This window comes from Homo sapiens, chromosome 17, assembly GCF_000001405.40.
Source record: "Homo sapiens chromosome 17, GRCh38.p14 Primary Assembly".
Classification (NCBI taxonomy): Eukaryota; Metazoa; Chordata; class Mammalia; order Primates; family Hominidae; genus Homo; species Homo sapiens.
In genome coordinates, this window is record NC_000017.11 from 31,387,267 (window position 1) to 31,408,996 (window position 21,730).

The window sequence follows — 21,730 nt, forward strand, 5'->3', positions numbered from 1 at the left end:
TTTTTTTGTTGTTAGTTTTTTTTTTGTTTTTTTTTTTTTTGGAGGCAGGGTCTCACTCTTGTCACCCAGGCTGGACTGTAGTGGCATGATCTGGGCTCACGGCAACCTCCACCTCCTTGGCTCAAGCCATCCTCCTGCCTCAGCCTCCTGAGTAGTTGAGACTACAGATACATGCCACGATGCCCAACTAATTTTTGTATTTTTTAGTAGAGACAGGATTTCATCACATTGCCTAGGCTGGTCTCGAATTACTGGACTGAAGCAATCTGCCTGCCTCAGCCTCCCAAAGTGCTAGGATTACAGGCGTGAGCCACCACGCCCAGCCTCCAGATCCTTAATTACATCTGCAAAGACCCTTTTTCTAATGAGGTAACATTTACAGCAGGGGTCCCAACGCCCAGACTGCAGACCATTACCAGTTCATGGCCTGTTAGGAACCACAGCAGGAGGTGAGCGCCGGGTGAGTGGGCATTACCGCCTGAGCTCCACCTTCCGTCAGATCAGTGGCATTAGATTCTCATAGAAGCGGGAACCCTATTGTGAATGGCGCAGGAGGGGGATCTAGGTTGCGCACCCCTTATGAGAATCTGAAGCCTGATGATCTAAGTTGGAACAGTTTCATCCCAAGACCCTCTTCCCCCGACTTGTATGAAACCAGTCCCTGGTGCCAAAAAAGGTTGGGGACCACTGATGTACAGGGATTGGAATATAGATATCATTTAAGGGGGCATTTTTCAGCCTACCATGCCATATTTGTCCATTCCTTAATTTATTCCTACACAGACCCTAACTATGTGTGTATGGGCATTATTTAGGAGCTACAGAAATCAGGAGAGAAATAGACACAGTCCCTGCTCCCAGGGACCTCATGGTCACTCCTGTGACCTTTCATACAGTTTCCCAGATAATCCGGTGATAGACAATAGGAGTAAGATGGTAAGGATAGTCACAAGGACAATAGCTGTCACTAACCAGCAGCACTGTTCTGACACTTACAATGTATGTATTAACTTACTGACTCTCACCACAGCCTTATCCATACCTGTAAGTGGGCTGCAGTCTGTACTTTTCACTTCTCTGCAGGAGCACATGGGAGAGGTGGTCAAGGTGGGCAAGGAGTGGGGTGGTCATGAAAGGCTTCCGGTAGGAAGTGCCACTTCCACAACACAAGGACAGGAATTAGAGAAAGTGGAATTGGGTGGGGGTAGGATTGAGACCTCCCACCCACTAAGCAAAGGGAGGCAGGAGGGAGCCTGGATGCTCCCAGACTAGGGTTAAGGAGAGGCAGGAGAGTATGAAGACACTGCACAATGCCAGCTCAGGCAATGGTGGCCATTGAGTTTTCAGCAGGGGAGGGACCTGATCAAACTTGTTTCTTCCTAGAGAAGGGGCCGGAGTCCCAACTGTCCCTTCCATGTATATTTCCCAGTATATTTCCAGCCTGCCCAGGCTGCTGCAGCTGTTGGAAATCCCCTGGAGAATCAGAGGTCACCTGGAGGAAGCGGAGGACAGAAAGGAGGCTCCGCGCCTTCCCGCCCTATCCATGGGGACCTCTTGCTTTCCTGGAGCAACCCCCTTCACCCTGCAGCCGGCCCTGACATGGGTATTCTCTTGCTGCTTCTGCTCGGGGCTGCACTCTGAGCTCTTGGATCAGGGTTTTGGGAGCCCTAGTGGTCCCAGGTCCACTTCCAAGGACCCAAGGACTCCATAAATTGCACCATCTCTGAGGGACCTTTGGGTAGGCACTCAGCCATTTCTGCAGGCCCTCTTGGGCTCCTAGAGCCTGGCACCTCAGTGTAGATCACACTGGGCCATGACTGCCCCCATCAAGTTCAGCAAGTGGCTGCACCCCTTTCACTGTCTCCCTAGCATACCCAACACAACGTAGGTGCTCAACAAAAACGTGACAACCCCAGAAAGAATGCCTGTGACGTGCTTTGCTGGCCCCAGCAGCACAGCGGTGAGCAAGAGACCCAGTGCCACTGGTGGGGGAGGCAGGTGTCCTTCAAACCATCGCCCACCAGAGACAAAACTGCAGAGACCTGGGCAAGGAGAGTCCGGTCAGGGAAAGCTCTCCTGGGGGATTTTTGAATTTGTGATGATCCTGTCTTTGACAAGAACTGGCTAATCTGGTTGCGGGATTCTGTCTTGGTTCACTTGGGATTTGTTCATGCTCAGGTCTGAGGTCCCCGCCTCTGCCAGCTGAAGTGGGTGAGTCTTCCAGCTCCCCTGTCCCCAGTTAGGGGGCATTCAATGCCAGGCTGAGCGCGGAGAGCCATTTCTGCAGCCCCCACCAGGGGGCAGCCCCAGCTCCTGGCCATCTCCTTTCTGTGCTGAGCCCCTTGGGTGAGAGAAAATGGCACGAGCTGACCTTGGACGAACTAATATCGGGGTCCCAGGGGCAGGCAGCAGCCCCCAGCTTCCACTCCCTACCTCCTTGCCAGGGGGCTGGCTGGATCTCCAGCAGCCAGTCTCTCCCAGCCAGCTGCTTGTCCTTATTCTCCACTTCCACCTCCATTTTGCAGGGTAGGTCGGGGGAAAGCAGCATTGCTTAGATTCGCTCTCATCTTCAGTTGCCCTAAAAGGAAGGTACTATTATCCTCACGGTACAGGCGAGGAAACCGGCTAAAATATGCTAGTATCCTGCTGAGCGGCATCCAGCTAGCAGAGACGCTCCTACTCAGCCGAATACCCCTACTCCACTCCCACGGCCTCCCCTTTCCCGCTTTCTCACATTTCGGACTCCTCAATCCTCAGAACCACAGGTCTCTCTTCCCAAGAGGTGTTGCCTTTCGTGGCTCTCAGACGAACTGAAGGGTCAAAGGAGAGTAGCTAAAAGCCAGGTTCATCCCAGGAGCCGGGGCTGGAAAGAAGAGGTCCCCGCCCACTGTCAGAAGGCAAATGGCAGTCCCTGCGCAGGATATATTCAGGGTTGAGCAGGAAGACCACAGAGGTACAAACCGAGGCCCAGCTAGGGGAGGCCATGCAGTTCACCCCGTACTCCCTGTCTGCGCCACTACGTTGCTCCCGGCTCCTCACATAATGGGCGGGCCCATCCCCTCTGGGTGGGGCTTCCTCTGGGCCCACTCTTGCCTGGAGATCAGGGACTTGAAGGTAATTAAGACATATCTTGCCCTGGAGGGCTTCCCAGCATGGTAGGGGAAATGGGCATCCCACTAGAGAATTAAGAATTAACTGGGCACCTGGAAGAAGGGCTTAGAACTCAGAATAGAAGATAAGATGGCGTGCCATCAGAGAAGCCTTCCCGGAGGAGGAAACCTCTGTGCTGAGCATGACAGCATAGGTGGGAGTAGACTCAGCCAAGGCCTTTTTTTGGGTTGGGGCCAGTCGTTGCCACAAAGACCTGATGTGCCGAGCAAGAAGGTGGAGAGAAGAGCCCGGCCGGGTCCTGCAGGGCCCCGAGGCTGGGCTGGGAAGTTAGCACAAGCTGGGGTGGAGGCTCCGCTGAGCACTAATGGGAGGAGGCCAGGGTCCTGACCTAGAGCCTGCGGCCAGCGGGACAGAGATTCTGTCCTGGATTCTCTGAGCTTGGGGCATGCGGGCTGCCAGGGAGGTGTGATGGTGGGAACCCGGCGAAAGGGAGGAAGCCTCTTCCAGGCGTGGAGCAGCCTTGGGCCCTGAACAGGCAGGCCTCTGGAAGCGCCTCGCTTTTCCTCCCTCCGGCCTCATCCTGGTTTTCTCCTCATCTCCCCGTCGCAGGGTCCCGGGTCCAGGCTGGGGTTCAGTTGCCTGCTCCTCCTCTCTGTGCCCTCCCCCGCCCGATGGCCCCACAAGTGCTGTCTTGCAGGAGAGCGCCGGGAGACCGCAGGGCGGAGGTGAAGAACGGAGTCCAGAGCCCTCCAGAGATGGCAGCGAATCCCGGCCCTGCCTCTTGCCAGCTGTGTGGCCTAGAGTGAGTCCGACCTCTCTGGGCCTCAGCTTCCTCCGGGATGAATGCAGTCACGGAACGCGCCAATGCAGGAGGCCCCCAGGACATCCTGAGCGCTCGGGAGACGCCAGGCGCGGCAGCGGGCACGGATAGCGGAAAGGGGCGCGACCCCGCGGAATCCTCCGGCAGGGCAGGGCCTTTGGGTGGCTCCGGGTGTCCAGAGGAAGGGGTGGGCTCGGGGACGCGGAGGGAAACTGGGGACGCGGAGGGAAACTGAGGTCGCGGAGGACGCGGCCGTTGGCAGCTCGCTGCGCCTGCCGGCCCCGCGTGGGCCGCCCCACTCGGGAGGACGCGGGCTCCTTTTGTCTGCAGCGTCCCCGCCGCCGCCGCCCCCGCCGCCTCCCCCTCTCCCTCCCATTTTCGCCGCGGCCCCCGCCCCTCCCCTCCCCGCCCCCTATTGCCCCTCCTCCTTCCCCTCCCCACTCTTCTCCTTCCCTCCCCTCCCCTCCCTTCCCCTCCGGAGCGGCTGGGGCTGCGGCGCCGCTGCTGACACGGATCGGCCGCGGCCGCCACCGGGCGGAGGCTGCGCGGCGCAGACCCAGACGGGCGGCCCCGGAGGGCGCGCGGCGATGGCGGCGGCGGGCAGGCGGCGGGCGCGGCGGGCGAGGGGTCCGGGCTGAGCTGCGGGCCGGCCCGGATGGCGGGCGGCGCGGGCTGGTCGGGCGCCCCCGCGGCTCTGCTGCGCTCCGTGCGCCGCCTGCGCGAGGTGTTCGAGGTGTGCGGCCGCGACCCCGACGGCTTCCTGCGCGTGGAGCGCGTCGCGGCGCTCGGACTGCGCTTCGGCCAGGGCGAGGAGGTAAGCTGGCCCGACCCCAGTCCCGGCCCGGGGACCCCAGCCCAGCCCCGCCGCCCCTCCCCCAGCTCCCCCGCCGGGTCACCCGCGTGGCCCGAGGCGGTGGCCTCCCTCCCAATCCCCTCCCTCCGCCGGAGCCCAGGACCTCGGCCCCCCCCGGGTATCCCTGGCCCAGCCGGGCCCTCGCTTTCCGCCCCCCGGCGCCCGTGCCCCGAGCGTCACGCGTCACGCCTAGGGTGGCTTCTGCGCCCACCTTCCTTCCTCGGCCATGCAGGTCCTTCTGAGCGGTCTGCACATCCACCCTTGTCTGGGGGAGAGAGCTGCCAGAATCCGGCCCTAGGCTCCCCACCCCACCCGGCGCTGCGGAGACCAAGATGCAAGGGTCTGTGTACGTCCTGCTGGGCCGGGCCAGGGGGTGAAAGGGACCGGTAGGGGTGCTCTGCAGCCTTGGCTCCTCGGCTGCACACACCCTGCCCAGACACGGAAGGAGGTGTCTGCTGGGGCCACCGTGTACTCCCGGGCCAGTGTCGGGTGACCTCTCATTCAGGCTCTGCTGGGCAGCCAGGCTGGCAGCTGGCTGTGTTGGTTGCAGCAGGCCAGGCAAAGCCAGGCTCGGGGAGTGGTGGCTGAGCAGAGGGCTTTCATGTGGCGGGGCCGCATCTATTTGGGGAAAGCAGGACTTACGTAGATTGTTAACAGGGCTGGAAGCGGAGGGTCGGTGCCGCCAGTAGGGTGGACGGAGTCATATCACTAAACGCACACTACACCAGTGTCCTCTGGTGCCACCGGCATGGGGACTGGGGACTGTGTCTCAAGGGGAGGACAAGACACCCACCTGGCTGAAATGGTCAGGGGTTTCCCCTGGAGCCAAAAGCCCTGAGAAGTGGGTTTCCAAGGCCATCTAAGGCCTCAGGCCCTGCATGGGGGGCCTGGGGCCATGGGCCTCAAATGGGCACTGGCTGGCATTGTGTTCCCAGAACAGGTCGGACCAGGCATTTCAGAACATGGGAGAAGCTGGGTGATGGCCAGGTTGGGCCCGTGCCTCTGCGTCACCAGAGAGTGGGAGGCGATTGAGAATCATCTCTCCACCCGCACCTGGGCATGGGCCGGGACTTGTGAGTCGCTGAGAGCTGTGGGCAGAAGAGAGTGAGGCAGCTTCAGGGCTTGAGAACTCAGGTACCCACCACAGGAAAGACCACTGCAGTGCCTGTGAGAGCCCAGACTGCCCTCTGCGGGGCTTTGCTGAGGGACACTGCCTGCTGCCACCATGACCCTTCTTCCCCAAAGGCCAGCCAAGCCCTTCCGTTTTTCCAGTGGCTCCCATCTGGGGCAGGCTGAGCAGACTCCTGGCATGGGGATAGTCGCGCTCCTTCCTCTCAGAACACAGACTGCAGGTCGGGTAAAGAAGCTACCAGCTCTGGCTGAAACCTGGAGTCCCCGAACTCAGAGCCTCAGTAGTGGGAAGGGCCTCCCAACAACCTCTGGCAGGGGCCACCGGCCTCAGCCACGTGCCCAGCAAGCCTCACCCACTTCTCCCCCAGCTGGACAGTTCCTGCCATTAGAACCTTCTCCCTCATACACTCTAGAGACAGACCTGCTTGTCACTTAGTCATCACCGTTCTGCACGGGGACTCACATAGGTCTCTCTTCTTTGGGGGAGCCTTTAAATATTTGAAAATAGCACTCCTGCCCCTTCTCTCCTTCCCAGCTCCATACTCCCATTTTCCCTTCTCCAGGCCAAATACCCCAGTTCCTGAAGCCCTAGGCCATTTCCATGTGACCCAGTAGCCAGACCTCTGGCTTCTGGCCTTGGAGCTGCCATCGACTAATTCTGTGATTCAGTTTTCCTAGCAATAACATGAAAGGGCTGGACAAGCAGACCGCCCCCCGCCGCCCCCACCAGGACTATATTAGCCCCAAGACCTCACACATATGCACACAGCTTAGGGTGGGGCTGCCTCTGAATGGGGCACTGCACTCTGCTTATATTAAGTTTCTGGCCACCGAAACCTCCAGGGATCTGTTTTAGAAACCTCTGCCAAGCCAGGGATTCTCCACCCTTCGGGGAGGGTCAGTGATTTTTTTCTTTTAAAAGCATACTCTGAGATTACTACAGAAGCGGTGGATATGCATTGCAGAAAACTGGAAATAGGGACAAGCAAAATAAAAAGTATTGTGTCCTATCTCTCAGGCAGCGCCTCAATGACACTTCTGTCAGACCTTTCCAGAGCTGTTTCCATGCTTATATGTCAATTTTCTCCAGAAAATGAGATCATACTGTGCATACTGTTTTGTAACCTGATTTTTTTTGCCGGTAAATGATCATGACTTTTCTGCTTCAATAAATTTTCATCTGGTTTAATATGCAGACCTTTTTCAGATTTCCCTATTTGACCCCAAAATGTCCATTTTTGCTGTTTCCTCTCCAGGACTGTGCAGTGTATGTGGTTGTTGTCACCTTTTAGTCTCTCTTACTGTACACAATTCCTTTTTCTTTTCTTTTCTTTTCTTTTTTCTTTTAACAATCCTGGCTTGTGGAAGCATTCGGGCCTGTTGTCTGTCAGTAATTTCTGGAATCTAAGCCTGTTTCTTGGCCCTTATTCCCATTTAATTTCGTCTTGTTCATTTCATCACATTGTATCTGTCAAGAAAGAGAATCTAGCATCCTACCTCTATCACTCTCAGCTGTGCTGCTGCCTGCGGGCTGGAGAAGCAGTGCTTGGTGTGTCTGAATCCACAAGGCTGGTTAAACATTGCAGGGCAGGACCATGGACAGGGCCCCGAGGCACTTGTAGGGGTGGTTTTCGGCTTATGCTGTATTGACCGAGACCCGTGGAAATATATTTTGCATCTCTACTCACTACCCATCTTATCCCCTGATGCATTAAAAAATCGGAGTGTTGTTTTCCAGCGGTGGGGTGGCGGGGGGCGGGGGGGGGGGGCTCCCTTACGAAATGCAGTGTACTCTGACTGTTTCTATTTTATTTGTTTTAAAATCAGGCAGTGACATTGATTTCCCAGCCACTTGTGCTCTGGGATGGATAATGATCATTCATTAGATATGTAGTTCAGTGAACTTAGAGCTGATTGTCCACAGTTTACCACCTACCCCCAGAATACCAGGGATACCAGGATCAAATGCTTTGCAAAAACCAAAATATACTAGGTCATAAAGTATGAAATAAATATCCATGAGGCCATAATGAAATATATATATGTATAAATTATTGAACAGATGATAATAAATAAATAGGAAAATCTCTCGTATAGAAGAAATCTGAATAACGTATGTTGATAATTGCCCCATTGAGGAAGTGAAGCATAACGTCCCACCGTGTAAGCATGAGATGTGCGTAGTGGCTTCCTTATAAAGGGTAGAGTTTGGAAAGTGGGGGGAACAGCAACTGTATAGTGGAGAAACCCAACAAACACTGTCTCAGAAGGTGATCAAGGACAACATCGATAGTGACAGATTGTGATGATGGCATACACCCTTGGTGTGATGTGGTGAGAATAGAACTTTTCCTCTGTGGTCTTCCTCCCAAACCAGTAATCCCAGTCTAGTCCTGAGAAAAATGCCAGACAAATCCCATCCGAGAGGCATTCTACAAAATGCCTGATTAGGACCTCTCAAAATTGTCAAGGTCATCCAAAACAAGGAAATTTTGAGACACTGTCAGAGCCAAGTGGAGACTAAGGAGGCAGCTGACTAAATGCAGTGTGGTGTCCTGGATGGGACCCTAGAATCAAGAAGAGGACATTAGGTAAAAACTAAGGAAGTCAGGATCAAGTATGAATGTTACTTAATAATGTTATTTATGGATTAGGTTAGTCCCTGATAGTTCCCTACTTTGTTGACCTAGGTATCACAGCAGAAAAGAGGAGACAATGGGCCGGGCGTGGTGGCTCATGCCGGTAATCCTAACACTTTGGGAGGCTGAGGTGGGAGGATCACTGGAGCTCAGGAGTTCCACACCAGCCTGGGTAACATGGTGAGACCCCCCATCTCTACAAAAAATACAAAAATTAGCCCGGTGTAGTGGCGTGCACCTGTAATCCCAGCTAGTTGGGAGACTGAGGCAGGAGAATCGCTTCAACCTGGGAGGCGGAGGTTGCAGTGAGCTGAGATTACATCGCTGCACTCTAGCCTGGGTGACAGAGTGAGACCCTGCCACAAAAAAAAAAAAAAGAAAAGAAAAGAAAAGAAAAGAAAGAAATGCAGATTTTTGAGGGATGGGGGCACACCACTGCCCTGATCCTGAAAGTCTACAATGCCAGGGAGCAGGACTCTGATAAGTATGTAACATGATGGCTCAACATCCTGACCCTGTGTTGCCTTCTGATATATTGCATTGTCTCCCTAACCTCTTTAGGCCTCTATTTACTCATCCATCAAATGGGGCTGATCAGAGTCCCCATTCTATAGGGTTATTGTGGGGTTTGAGTGAGTTAATACATACAAAGGGCTTAGTCCAGTATCTGCACAGAGTAGGCATAATATCAGAATTGCTGGTGCTCTCCTTGTCATTATTATTATTTTCTAAACACTTGCAAGCATTTTTGAGAGGCTGTTCTAGGCTGGAGATTTGCTAGGAATTGAGGTCAAGATCTGGCACCGGCCTCTGTGTGCTCAACTCACCCTCCTTAACCAGCTGTGGTGTTCCTGCCCCTCTTACGTCCCCTCGGCAGTCAGAATGGTAGACATTGAAAGCAGCCAGAGATGTCCTGGACCACACTTCCCTGTGACATGGTCCTCTTCCCTTTCCAGTTTGAAGACCGTCCTTCTTGCTAGAAAAATAGAAATAAGAATCACCAAGTAGGCCTCTCCCATGCATTAACACAGCACCATCTCCTCTGGACAGTGGGCCTGTCCTGCCTGCTTGGAAATGAAATGATGGTCCCCACTGGGCTCCCTGAGTCCTCAGGTCCCCTCTGAGCTAATGCCTGCTATGGGGGAATTGCTAGTGCCACTTGGGTTAAGCCTGGGTCTTTGAAATGGCAAAGGGGTTGGGGTGCTAGGATGGGCTGAGACCGGCCAGGAGCCAGCCCTGGGGCTGGGATCGATGTCTTTTGAGATACGTGGCTTCCAGGAACAGGAGCACCTGGAACTAAAGCTCCTCTGCTCAGGAGTAGCAATTGGATAACAGGGAAGAAACAACTGTATCCCCACAGCTGTGGCTGGAGGAAGGGGTGAAGGGGAAGGTAGGGCCAGATCAGTGGTTCCCTGTAGGCAGTGAGACCTAGGCAGCCAAGAGTGGATGTGTATGAGAGAACAGGGGATGGGGAGCAGGATTGGAGGCAGGAGGCCTCCTCGGGACTGTGGCACATGGTAAGAGAGGAAGAGCATCCTAACTTGGGCAGTGGCGGGGGGTGCAGAATTGACAGGGGCCTGGAAGGCCGGCAAAGTCCCAACGAGCTACTCCCAAAAGGTGATAGTTAAAGGTGCTCTTTTGAGACCAGGCAACCTCTATGTGCCCCACCCTAATGAGGCTACCATGCAGAGTGACAAGGCTGGCACATCAGAAGGAAGGCCCAGGTGCCCTGAGCCTGGCAGAAAAGGTGGGAGTGCCTGGGACCTGAGGTGGAAGCAGGACAAGAGTGAGCCCAGAGAGATGTTCTCTTTCCTATGCTTCTGGGAAACTGTGCTCCTGAGGTTGGAGGTCATCATGGAAGTGGGGCCAGGGCTGGGGATCCCTTGGGGCCTGGGGATGGGCATGTGGCACCACACTCTGCATTGAGGCGGGAGGACGAGTCCTAGCTGGGGCACCCTCTGGCCTCTTGTGCCCACCAGTTTGGCTGTGCTGGGAGGAGGCCAGATGCAGAAAGTCTGCTGGGACTCATCCATCTTATCAGACACGCCCCTGCCTTTTTTTTTTTTTTTAATTGAAACAGGCTCTCGCTTTGTAGCTCAGGCTGGAGTTCAGGGGTGCATCATGGCTCACTGCAGCCTCGAGCTCTTGGGCTCAAACCGTCCTCCTGCCCCAGCCTCCCAAGTAGCTGGCACTGCAAGTATATGCCACCATGCTCAGCTAATTTTTTGTCAGACACTTTTTTTTTTTGAGACGGAGTCTCACTCTGTCACCCAGGCTGGAGTGCAGTGGCTCGTTGCAACCTCCAACTCCGGGGTTCAAGCGATTCTCTCACCTCAGCCTCCCGAGTAGCTGGGATTACAGCCATGTGCCACCACGCCCAGCTAATTTTTTGTATTTTTAGTAGAGACAGGGTTTTGCCATGTTGGCCAGGCTGGTCTTTTAACTCCTGACCTCTGGTGATCCACTGCCTGAGCCTCCCAAGGTGCTGGGATTACAGGCGTGAGCCACCACAGCTGGCCTGTCAGACACTCTTGACGAAGCCTGAATCCATTTGGCAAAACCTTGCTGAGTTCCAGCGTCATTCCCAAGACACTGGAGTTCTAGAGAAGGAGGAAATGCCAGCGTTGAGAGACCGTGCCATGGGGGGTGGGGGGTGTGATCCCTGCCTCCATTGGTGAGACCTGAATGGGGGACATATAGACCTGAGTAGGGGGAAGAATCAGCCCTTCCCATCAGCAAGACGTGCCCTCCGAGGGATATCAGTGGGTAGAGAACCTTGAACCATCCACAAGCTTCCCTTATGGGCGTCCAGCCCATGAAGTGTGACGTTCCCCCTTGTACAGGTGGGTCACGAGGCTGGACAGGCAGCGTGGCTTTCAGACCTGGCCCTGGCTCTGAGGCTTAGGAGCCTTCCCTAGCACCGGGAAGAAAACCAAAGAGGAAAAGAAGAAGAAAGGACCGGACAGAGGGAGGAGAGGCTGGGCCAGGAGATTCCTGTGTGCTGCCTGGGCTGGTGGGCGGGGAGTAGGGAGCCCAGGAACCTGGGAACGGGGGCGATGGCTACAAAGCCACCCCTTTTTCCTTCAGCAGGGCCTCCACTGCCTGAGAAGTTCGGCACTGGGCAACACTGCCTTGGAGGGCAGTGCATTGCTAGGGTGGGCAGCAGGCTCCTGGACAATGGTGCCCCGGCCTGGGCAACCTTCGGCCGGCAGGAATAGGGGTGTTCACAGGTCCACATGGAGGAGGGGTTCTGCCTCAGCCCTGGAGTGTAGGGCGGAGGGCTCCTTCCCTTCCTGTTGCAGCACCCCTTTGGCCCACTGAGCAGTCATCCCCACCCCAGCCCTGAGCAGTGCCACCAGGAACAGTGCAGAAGGGGAACCTGACAGCTGGCTGAGATAGACTCTTAGAGCTGAGTCACACCAACCTGGGCGGGATGGAGGGGAAATGCCCGCTGGCCTGGAAATGGCATATGGCTTGCCCAAGTCACTGCTGTCCTCCTAGCCCCAAGTTATTGGGTAAATGCGCTGAAATTTTTATAGAGTTGATTTTATGGAAGTATCCCTTACATTTACCCTTAACACGGGTCCAGATTTAAAAATTTTTTATTCTAGGCCAGGTGTGGTGGCTCAACCCTGTCATCCCAGCACTTTGGGAGGCCGAGGCGGGCAGATTGCTTGAGGTCAGGAGTTCGAGACCAGCCTGGCCAACATGGTGAAACCCTGTCTCTACTAAAAATACAAAAATTAGCCGGGCGTGGTGGCATGCGCCTGTAGTCCCAGCTACTTGGGAGGCTGAGATAGGAGAATTGCTTAAACCCGGGAGGCGGAGGTTGCAGTGAGCTGAGATTGCACCACTGCACTCCAGCCTGGATGACAGAGCGAGACTCAGTCTCAAAAAATAAAAATAAATACATAAATACAAATAAAAAATTTTTATTCCTAGGCCCAGCGCAGTGGCTCAAGCCTGTAATCCTAGCACTTTGGGAGGCTGAGGCAGGCGGATCACCTGAGGTCAGGAGTTCAAGACCACCCTGGCCAACATGGTGAAACTTGTCTCTATTAAAAATACAAGAATTAGCCGGGCGTGATGATGCACGCCTGTTATCTCAGCTACTCGGGAGGCTGAGGCAGGAGAATCGCTTAAACCCAGGAGGAGGAGGTTGCAGTGAGCCGAGATTGCGCCACTGCACTCCAGCCTAGGCGACAGAGTGAGATTCCATCTCAAAAAAAAAAAAAAGCCATTTTATTCCATTAACATCTTGGGTACCTACTGTGTGCCAACCCTGCCCTGGGCACTGGGAAATAGGAAACAACAGGGACCTGGGCTCGCATTCTGATAGGGGTCGCAGAAAAGAGGCAAAGGAATAGAAACAACTGTCAGGTGCGGGTAAGTGGCAGAAAGAAACATTAGTGCCGAAACAAAAGCCAGTGTACTTAGAACAATGTCATAGATGGCTATTGAGGTGGAGCCCAGAATGAAATGGGGGCTGCACCTTGCATATGTCTTGGAAACGTGGTCCAGGCAGAGGCAGGAGCCTGCCCAGGGGCTTAGAGGCACAGTGAGCCCGAAGACAAGGGTGGGGCCAGTTCCTGTGGCCTTCCCTGCAGGGGCTTTGGCTTTCTTGGAATGAGATGGAAGCCCCCAAAGGGTTCTGAGCGGAGGAGATACAGGATCAGACTTAGGTTTAATGGGGACCACCCTGGCTGCTGTGTGGCTCCTCGGAGAGGCAGAAGGGGCCGGGGAGAGGCAGGGAGACCAGCACCAAGGCTAGTTCTTCACCCAGGTGATGGGCGCTGGGGGCCAGGAGCAGAGGAGAAGCCGTGGAGCAGTGGCTGGATCTTGAAAATGGAGCCGATTGGCAGTGGGAGTGAGCAAGAGGAGACTTTGGAGACAAGCTGCCGTTGCTGGGTGGGGAGGCAGAGAGGAAGAGGGCTGGGTGAGGACTCGGGAGCTCCACGTTGGCCTGTGAGACCTGAGTGCAGCTGTGGAGCCAGTGGCGATGGACAGGTCTGGGGACCACGCTTCAGCCCCCACCGCCTGGCACATCCTGGGCTCTTTCTCCCTTTCCTTCTACCCTGGCCCTGGGGTCTCATCTCATTGCCCACAACAAAGGAGTTTACAGAAGCTGACCTAGGTGTGGTCTGGCCCCCTTTAAAAGTGAGGCTTGGCCGGGAGCGGTGGCTCATGCCTGTAATCCCAGCACTCTGGGAGGCCAAGGCAGGCAGATCACGAGGTCAGGAGACCCAGCCCATCCTGGCTAACACGGTGAAACCCCGTCTCTACTAAAGATACAAAAACAAAATTAGCTGGGCATGGTGGTGGGCGACTGTAGTCCCAGTTACTCGGGAGGCTGAGGTGGGAGAATGGCATGAACCCGGGAGGTGGAGCTTGCAGTGAGCCAAGATCACGCCACTGCACTCCAGCCTGGGCGACACAGCGAGACTCTGTCTAATTAAAAAAAAAAAAAAATGCCAGGCTTGCCCCAGCATCTTCAGATTCTTGGAGACTCCCCCAGGGGCCATAGCTTAGGGTCACCAATTCCCTGCAACCTGTCACCCCTGAGGTCACTGCTGAGGACCCATTGTCCATAGCTTCTGTGCCCTTGAGGGCAGGATGAGCAGAGCAGCCCAGAATCCTTATAGGTTTCTATAACAACCCATGACCCAAGACGGGGAGCAGGCTCCATACAGCTGTAGCCCAGATTCCAGCTGTAAGGACCTCTGGCTTCCCTGGAGACCAAGGCCTTGAGTCCAACACACACTGCAGTTGCTGTGGCTCAGGGCTTACAGGCGCAAAACCCGGAGAAGATTGCCAGCTTCCTCCAAAGTGTTTGCTGATGACACATGGGCCTGCAGTGGGCACTGTCCCCAGGAAGATCCCAGTCTAAGGCTAGCACCTGGACAGGATAGACAGAGGATTGATTTGAACCAAAACAAAAACCAGAAGGGGAGTAGAGGTCATTCAATGAGACTCCCATTCAGTGCCTGCATCACTCAGTAGCCAAGAGACAGGGACGCGCTGCCTCCCAAGGCAAGCCCATTCTCACCTGGCAGGGCTCTGGCTGAGTTCTTGTTCATATAACGAGCTGAAATCTATCTCCTAGAGTTCCATCTGCTCACACTTCCTCCACCCATTCATCCAACCATCTGCCTGCCGGTTCACCTAAGCATCCACTTACCCATCCATCTACCCATCCATCATCCCTTCCATCCATATATACCCAACCATGTACCTCCTGATCCATCCGTCCAGTGAACCGCCCATCCAACAGTCCATCCACCCATCCATTCATTAGCCACGCACCCCTTAGTCCACCCATCTGTTTATCCACCCTTCTGCCCACTTCCGTAGCCTCCCCATCTGTCCATGCATCCATCCATCCATCCATCCATCCATCCATCCATCCATCCACCCACCATCTACCACTTCCTGAGTATCAGTCATGCAAAAGTCCTAAGCACAGACCCAGGGATGGGGACTGGTATTTTCAGGGAGTGACAAGTGTCTCCATGTGGTGAAAGGACAGGGAGGGCAGGGAGACTGAGAACTCAGGCTGGAACAGGGACCAGATGGTGACTTTCGGGAGGGCTCAGGAGCTGGGAGGGTCTGAGTAGCTCAGATGAGTTTTGGATGAGCAGCAACACCTCAGTGCAGTGATTCCTGCCCTCTATGGAATCAACTCTTTTTTATGATTTCTCACTTCCCACACAGGCCATTGGGTCTGGCAAGAGCTGGGACCTTGCTGAAAAATGTGAAGGCTCAGATTATTTTATTTATTTTTATTTATTTATTTATTTATTTATTTATTTATTTATTTTTGAGACAGAGTCTTGCTTTGTCGCCCAGGCTGGCGTGCAGTGGCGCAATCTTGACTCACTGCAAGCTCTGCCTCCCAGGTTCACGCCATTCTCCTGCCTCAGCCTCCCAAGTAGCTGGGACTACAGGCGCCCACCATCACTCCTGGCTAATTTTTTTTTTGTATTTTTAGTAGAGACGGGGTTTCACCGTGTTAGCCAGGATGGTCTCGATCTCCTGACCTTGTGATCCACCCGCCTTGGCCTCCCAAAGTGCTGGGATTACAGGCGTGAGCCACCGCGCCTGGCCAGATTATTTTTAAAGGTGCTTATTATGATAGGTGGACCTCAGTTTCCTTATCTGTAAAATAGAGGTCATACCCCTATTTGTGGCACTGTTGTGATGGTTGGAGATTGAATATATAGAGATATATGAGTATGACTGAGCATGGTGGCTATTGCATCATTTCTTCACCGCCCCGCCCCCCCGCCCAGCCATGACCCACATGGGTACTGCGCTGCCCTCAGTCCTAGGACTGCACCTCTGACCCCTTTCTCTGCCCAGTACACCCCAGGCATGGGGCTCCCTTGTGCAATGACCAAAGTCTTCTGCAGCCACTGGTGATTTTCCATGGACAGAGAGGATATGGAGACCCAAGGACTCCAGGACCCACCAAAACTTGCTGGCTGCCTTTGTATTTCTTTCTTTCTTTCTTTTTTTTTTTTGAGATGGAGTCTCGCTCTGTCACCCAGGCTGGAGTGCAGTGGCGCAATCTCGGCTCACTGCAACCTCTGCCTCCCAGGTTCCAGCAATTCTCCTGCCTCAGCCTCCCAAGTAGCTGGGACTACAGGAGTGCACCACCACACCCAGCTAATTTTTTGTATTTTTAGTAGAAACGGGGTTTCACCATGTTGGCCAGGATGATCTCGATCTCCTGACCTTGTGATCCACCCATCTTGGCCTCCCAAAGTCCTGGGGTTACAGGCATGAGCCACCGCGCCCGGCCCTGCCTTTGTATTTCTTAATCCCTTTCGTCATCACGGCAACCAGGAGCCTCCATGAGGTGAAGTGACTTGTCCAGGGTCTTGAGTAACTGGTGGAGCTGGGATTAGAACCCAGGTCTGTCAGGTTCTAAAGCTGCCTTTTTAGCTTCCTGCTGTGGGGGTCTCATGTTCTTAGAAGGTCAGAGGAGGGAGAGAGTGACCTGATCTGAGTTCCAGAAATCTAACATTGGAGAAATCTGAAATTTGAGACTTCCTCTGGCTGGGGACTTTGAGCCTGGGGTGGTCTCGGTTGGGAAATGCGCAGATCAGAAGTAGGTCTGGGCTCTGCAGGATGGGCGGCCAGGGGCCCTCTCATGGGCACTGCATCCCAGCACTGGGCAGGGAGGGAGGCTGCCAGCGAACTGTGCCCAGAATTATGCATCTGCGCCACTTCCTGTTCAAATGGTGATTCCATGGCCCCAGGAGGTGCGCATTTCTCTGACTGCTCCGATTTCCTGCCAGGCACTCATAGGTAATCCTCTGCAGGCCCAGGCTGTGTGGGGCTGAGTCTTCTTTGTCTCCAGTTGGCCGCCCCGCCAGCCCGTGGACCACACACTCCTGTTCCTGCATCCTCCTCGGCCTGCACTGCAGATCCTCCCCAGTCAGAGGCCCTGCAGCCCCAGCCGGCCTTGGCCCCATCCTGCTCTCCGCCCCGTCCCCACTTCCACTTTTCTACTGCACCTCAGATCAGGCCAGGCCATCTCTCAGGTTCTCTCCCTGCCCTGGGGAAGTGACTGGGAGCTGGGCCCTAGTGTCAGACACATCTGGTTTGAGACCCAGCTCTGCAACTTACTTGCTGCGTGACTCTGAGAAGTTACTTAACCTCTTTATGCCTCAGTCTCCTCATCTGTATAGTGGGGATAATATTAGCAATGCATGTTAAACCCTCAAAACGACACGTGACATAGTGTCACATATGTTTGTTAAAATGACCGTTACCACCACCTCTAGGTTTTCTGAGTCAGCTGTCTGATCCACTCTTTTACAGATTTTTTGAGGTCAGATTCTGTGTCATGTTTGGGGCCAGAGGGTATACAGATGAGTAAGATAGGATTCCTTCCCTGCGGTGGGGGCGGGGGACTGACATGGAAACCAGACCTGCGGGAAGGGTGCGGGCTTGTGCAGGTGTGGCTGAGGCATGAAGATAGGAGAGTCACTCTGCCTGGGAGATGAGAAAGCCTTTCTGGAGTGGGACTTCAGAAATGGATGGCGGGGCTGAGTTTGGAACAGGGTCTGCCAGGGTGGAGGGAAGGACAGGTATGCCAAAGGTGAGACCTACCTGTGCAGAGGCCCACCTGCAGGGGTGGAGGGGCTGACCAGGCAGGCTGGAGGCAGGAGGTGGCAGGGCTTGATTTTATCCCAAAGGTTTCGGGATAAAATGTTGAAGAGGTTTAAGCAGAGGGCCACACAGCTCTATTGCCTTTAGACAAACCCACCTAGAAGTAGCGTGGGTTGGGGAGAAGGGGCTGAGGTGGGAGGCTTCTGTCCCAGTTCAGGGGCAAGGAGAGGGGACCCTGAGGATGGAGAGAAGGGGAGGGTCAGAGGGAGGCTCCCAGGCGGTCTGGAGGCGTTCACATGGGTCCTCCATGATTCCCACCTCCATGACTGGGTGCTGGAGCCCTGAGCCCAGCGCAGGTGGCACTCATAGGCCTGCCAAGCTCACGCAGCCTCAGGGCCTGCCCTTGCTCTCAGGAATCATTTGAAGGGCAGCTGATCTTTTTTTTTTTTTGAGACGGAGTCTCGCTCTGTCGCCCAGGCTGGAGTGCAGTGGCGTGATCTCGGCTCACTGCAGCCTCCACCTCCCTGGTTCAAGCGATTCTCCTGCCTCTGCCTCCCAAGTAGCTGGGACTACAGGCATTTGCGCTGCCACACCCAGCTAATTTTTTGTATTTTTAGTAGAGACGGGGTTTCACTGTGTTGGCAAGGCTGGTCTGGAACTCCTGACCTCAGGCGATCCGCCCTCCTAGGCCTCCCAAAGTGCTACCGCACCCAGCCTGCTCTTTATTTTAAAAGCAAAAAAATTATCAAATATTGTTCTTGATATAGAAATTTAAATTACTTTATACTTAGTTTTTCTTAGTTTTCTTTATACTTAGTTTTACTTTTATAGTAGGAAAAAGAAAGCTAACTAGCACTGAATTGAATTTCTGTACCTTAAAACCCACATCTGGTTATGATTGCCTGGTGTGAGCTATCGTGACCCTTTTTCACCTCGAGGTGTTTACTGTGCCTGAATCTGTTCTAGAGATGGTGGTGTCTCCTCCCTCTCCCACCCCTGCCTCATCCCAGGCACCGACTGGCCCTCACACCAGTCACTATTAGTGTCTGCACTAATAGTGCAGACACTCTGCTCTGCCCAGCCCAGCTCACTGAGCCCAGCCCACCTGGCAGGGCACCTGGGCCAGCTGGTCAACCCCTGGGCTCAGCTCCTGCTCTGGTGCAAGCAGGGTGGGGCCCAGGGATACTTTGCTCCCCAGATGATGCCCTCCAGAGGGCGGAAGGGGGGTTGTCTGGAGCCAGGCTCACTGCAGAAAGCCTGGAGGAGGAGTCCTGGGTACCCTGAGCTGAGCTGCACCTCCCTCAGTACCACTGACTGTCCCTTGGGCTCTGCTCCCAGCGCAGGCGCTCAGCTGCCAGCCAGAGGAGTGGCCTCTGGTGTGGGCATCTCACAACCCCTGACCCCCAGGAGGCACGTCCTAGACACTGTGTGGGTGGAATCCAGGGCCTGTCTGCTCATTTGTCTGGCCAGAGGCACTGGCTTTGGGCTTCTGGTCACCTTTTCTAAAAATGGTCGTGTCTCCTCCTTCTGTCTCCCCTGCCTCAAAGCAAGCCTTGCTCCAGGCACGAGGGTGCTGTTTCTGCACGACCCCATCAGCACTATTATTTTAATGTATTTGTTTCTGCCAGTTTGATAGGTGTGTAATGGTATTTCACATCTTGTTTACACTTGCATTTTTAATTGCTCATGAGACTTTGCATTTTTTCCATGTTGCTATTTACTCTTGGTATTTCTTTCTGCATAAACTGTCCTATCGATCTTTTTTCAGCATTTATCAAGGGGAATTTTTGTTTTGCCCTTTATTTTAAAGTCAGTTCTATATATTTCAGCACTGTTTGTCATGCCATTTTTTCTTGCTCTGTTGCTTTCCTCTTTCTCTCTGTTAATCATATCTTATTGCTCAAAAGTTTTCCTGTGTGTGAATATGTTTTCTTTCAATTATATCACATCTGCTTTGTTTCTGATTATATCTATCACTTCTTTAGTAGTTAGACACTTATTTTCCATCTCTAACAAGAATAAATAAGCCATTTTGTTTATAACCCCCAGTTAACTCACCAACTGTTTAGTGTTTTGACACATTTGTTTTTTTGTTTCACTTGATTTTTTTTTTTTTTTTTTTTTTTTTTTTTGAGACAAGGCTTCGCTCAGTCACCCAGACTGGAGTACAGTGGTGTGATCTTGGCTCACTGCAGCCTCAACTTCCTGGGCTCAAGCGATCCTCAGCCTCTTGAATAGCTGGGACTAACAGGTGTGTGCCACCACGTCCTGCTAATTTATTTTTATTTTTTGTAGAAATGGGGGTCTCACTATGTTACTCAAGCTTGTCTTGAACTCCTGGGATCAAGCAATCCTCCTGCCTCAGCCTCCCAAAGTGCTGGGATTACAGGCATGAGCCATCGTGGCTGGCTTTCACCCTACCTCTTATCTGTCTGTCTTATCTATCCATCTATCATCTAACTCCATTTCTGTTGTTTTGTTTTGCTTGAACCATTTTCAGTAGATGAAAGACATCTTGACCTTTCTCCCATAAATACTTGACAGTTTCCTGCCCAAATGCAGTGCCATGATCACCCAGGGATTTCACATTAATTCAGCGATGTCATCTAAGATTCAGCTCATAATCAGATTTCCCTAGTTGTCATAACATTGATGTTTCTGAGGAGTCCAGGCCAGTTGTCCTATAGACTGTCCCATCACCTGGATGTGTCTGTTTCCTCGAGGTTAGATACACAGTAAGCGTTTTTGGCAGGGACAGGTGGTGGTGTGTCCTCAGAGCATCTCATGAGGGGCCACATGATGTTCATTTGTTCTATTTTGGGGATGCTGAGTTCAATCACTTGATTAAGGTGGTGTCTACCTCATCTATTCAACATAATGGTACTTTTCCCCTTATAATTAATAGGTAATCTGTGGGACCATACCTTGGGACAGTGTAAACATTTGGTTTACATAATAGTTTTAGCATCCACTGATGCCCCTTGCCTGAGTAAATTACACTGGTGGTTGCCAAATGGTGATTTTTTTCTAATTCTCTCATTCTTTCCACAGATAGAGCATTGTTCTGTTAAAAAAAAAAATTCTTTCCTTCCACCCCCCTTTTCTGAGTATCACTATGAACTTGTGGCTCCTTACCTCCCCAGCCTGTCATACCTTGTTACCTTCATTCTTTTTAATGCTCAACAGTTTTTTGTTTTGTTTTTAATGCAACATTATAACATTTTGAGCATTATGACTTGGAATAATGTATTTTTAATTGAAACAAGCCAATCATTATTACCTTTTAAAAATCCTTCTGATAGTCTTCATTATTTATGGATTTTGAAGAATGTAACACATTTTTCAGGGTCTGTAACGGGTATTGCATTCAGTCTATTAGATTAGAGAGTGCTGCCATCTTTACATACTATATTTAGTCCTCCCAATAGGAGCAAAATATTAACATTAAAAATAGGTGTTTTACAATTGGACTAAATAAATGTTTAATATTTAATGTGTTTTATTACTGCTGAGAATTAAGTACTTTTTTTCCATTGATTTTTTTCCTAGCTGCATGTCACTAGCATATAGGAATATAATTGATTTTTTGTAAATGTTTTCTCTAATCTCACCACTGGTATGAATTCATTTATCATTTCTAGTAGTTTTCTGGTTGATGACTTTGCATTTCCTAGGTAAGCCATGCCATCCAGTTCAAAAGTCATTGTTTTGTGTCTTCTTTTGAGTTCAATTACTTTTTCTTCTGAGATGGGAGCCGCCAGCATTTCTAGAGCTAAGCGGGGTGGGCACAGGAGACATCGCCCCAACTGACATGTGCTGGAACATTGGCCACAGGCCCAGCTGTGAGTCAAGGAGAACAGCTGGGGCAGGGGCAGTGGTCTTAACAGACAGGGTCCCAAAGGAAGTGGTGAATCCTGAAGAGGTCGAGGCTGGTGTTGGCACAAGAGGTGGCCTAATAGAGAGGGAAGGGGGCCAGCAAGAGGCCATCAGGCCTCCTGCTATGGTTCAGGGGAGGACTCCAGCCTCATGGCAGAAAAACCAAGTCCCAGGCAGCAGAGC

General features: G+C 52.9%; 1 protein-coding gene across 1 annotated transcript in view, besides 2 other annotated features; it reads left to right on the forward strand.

The window, feature by feature from the left end:
• Positions 3,624 to 4,213: an enhancer, noted in NCBI's record as "H3K4me1 hESC enhancer chr17:29717908-29718497 (GRCh37/hg19 assembly coordinates)". NCBI's record gives its function as "activates a minimal SCP1, AML or CMV promoter by ChIP-STARR-seq in naive H9 embryonic stem cells {active_cell/tissue: H9 hESC(naive)}" and the evidence as "EXISTENCE:reporter gene assay evidence [ECO:0000049][PMID:30033119]".
• The window catches only part of RAB11FIP4 (RAB11 family interacting protein 4), a 146,537-nt gene continuing 129,215 nt past the window's right edge, over positions 4,409 to 21,730 (forward strand). The window contains exon 1 of the mRNA NM_032932.6: positions 4,409 to 4,745. Coding sequence (NP_116321.2) covers positions 4,587 to 4,745 — 159 coding nt within the window. The 5' untranslated portion in view covers positions 4,409 to 4,586. The remainder of the gene's footprint in view (positions 4,746 to 21,730) is intronic.
• Positions 12,955 to 13,456: an enhancer, noted in NCBI's record as "H3K4me1 hESC enhancer chr17:29727239-29727740 (GRCh37/hg19 assembly coordinates)". NCBI's record gives its function as "activates a minimal SCP1, AML or CMV promoter by ChIP-STARR-seq in primed H9 embryonic stem cells {active_cell/tissue: H9 hESC(primed)}" and the evidence as "EXISTENCE:reporter gene assay evidence [ECO:0000049][PMID:30033119]".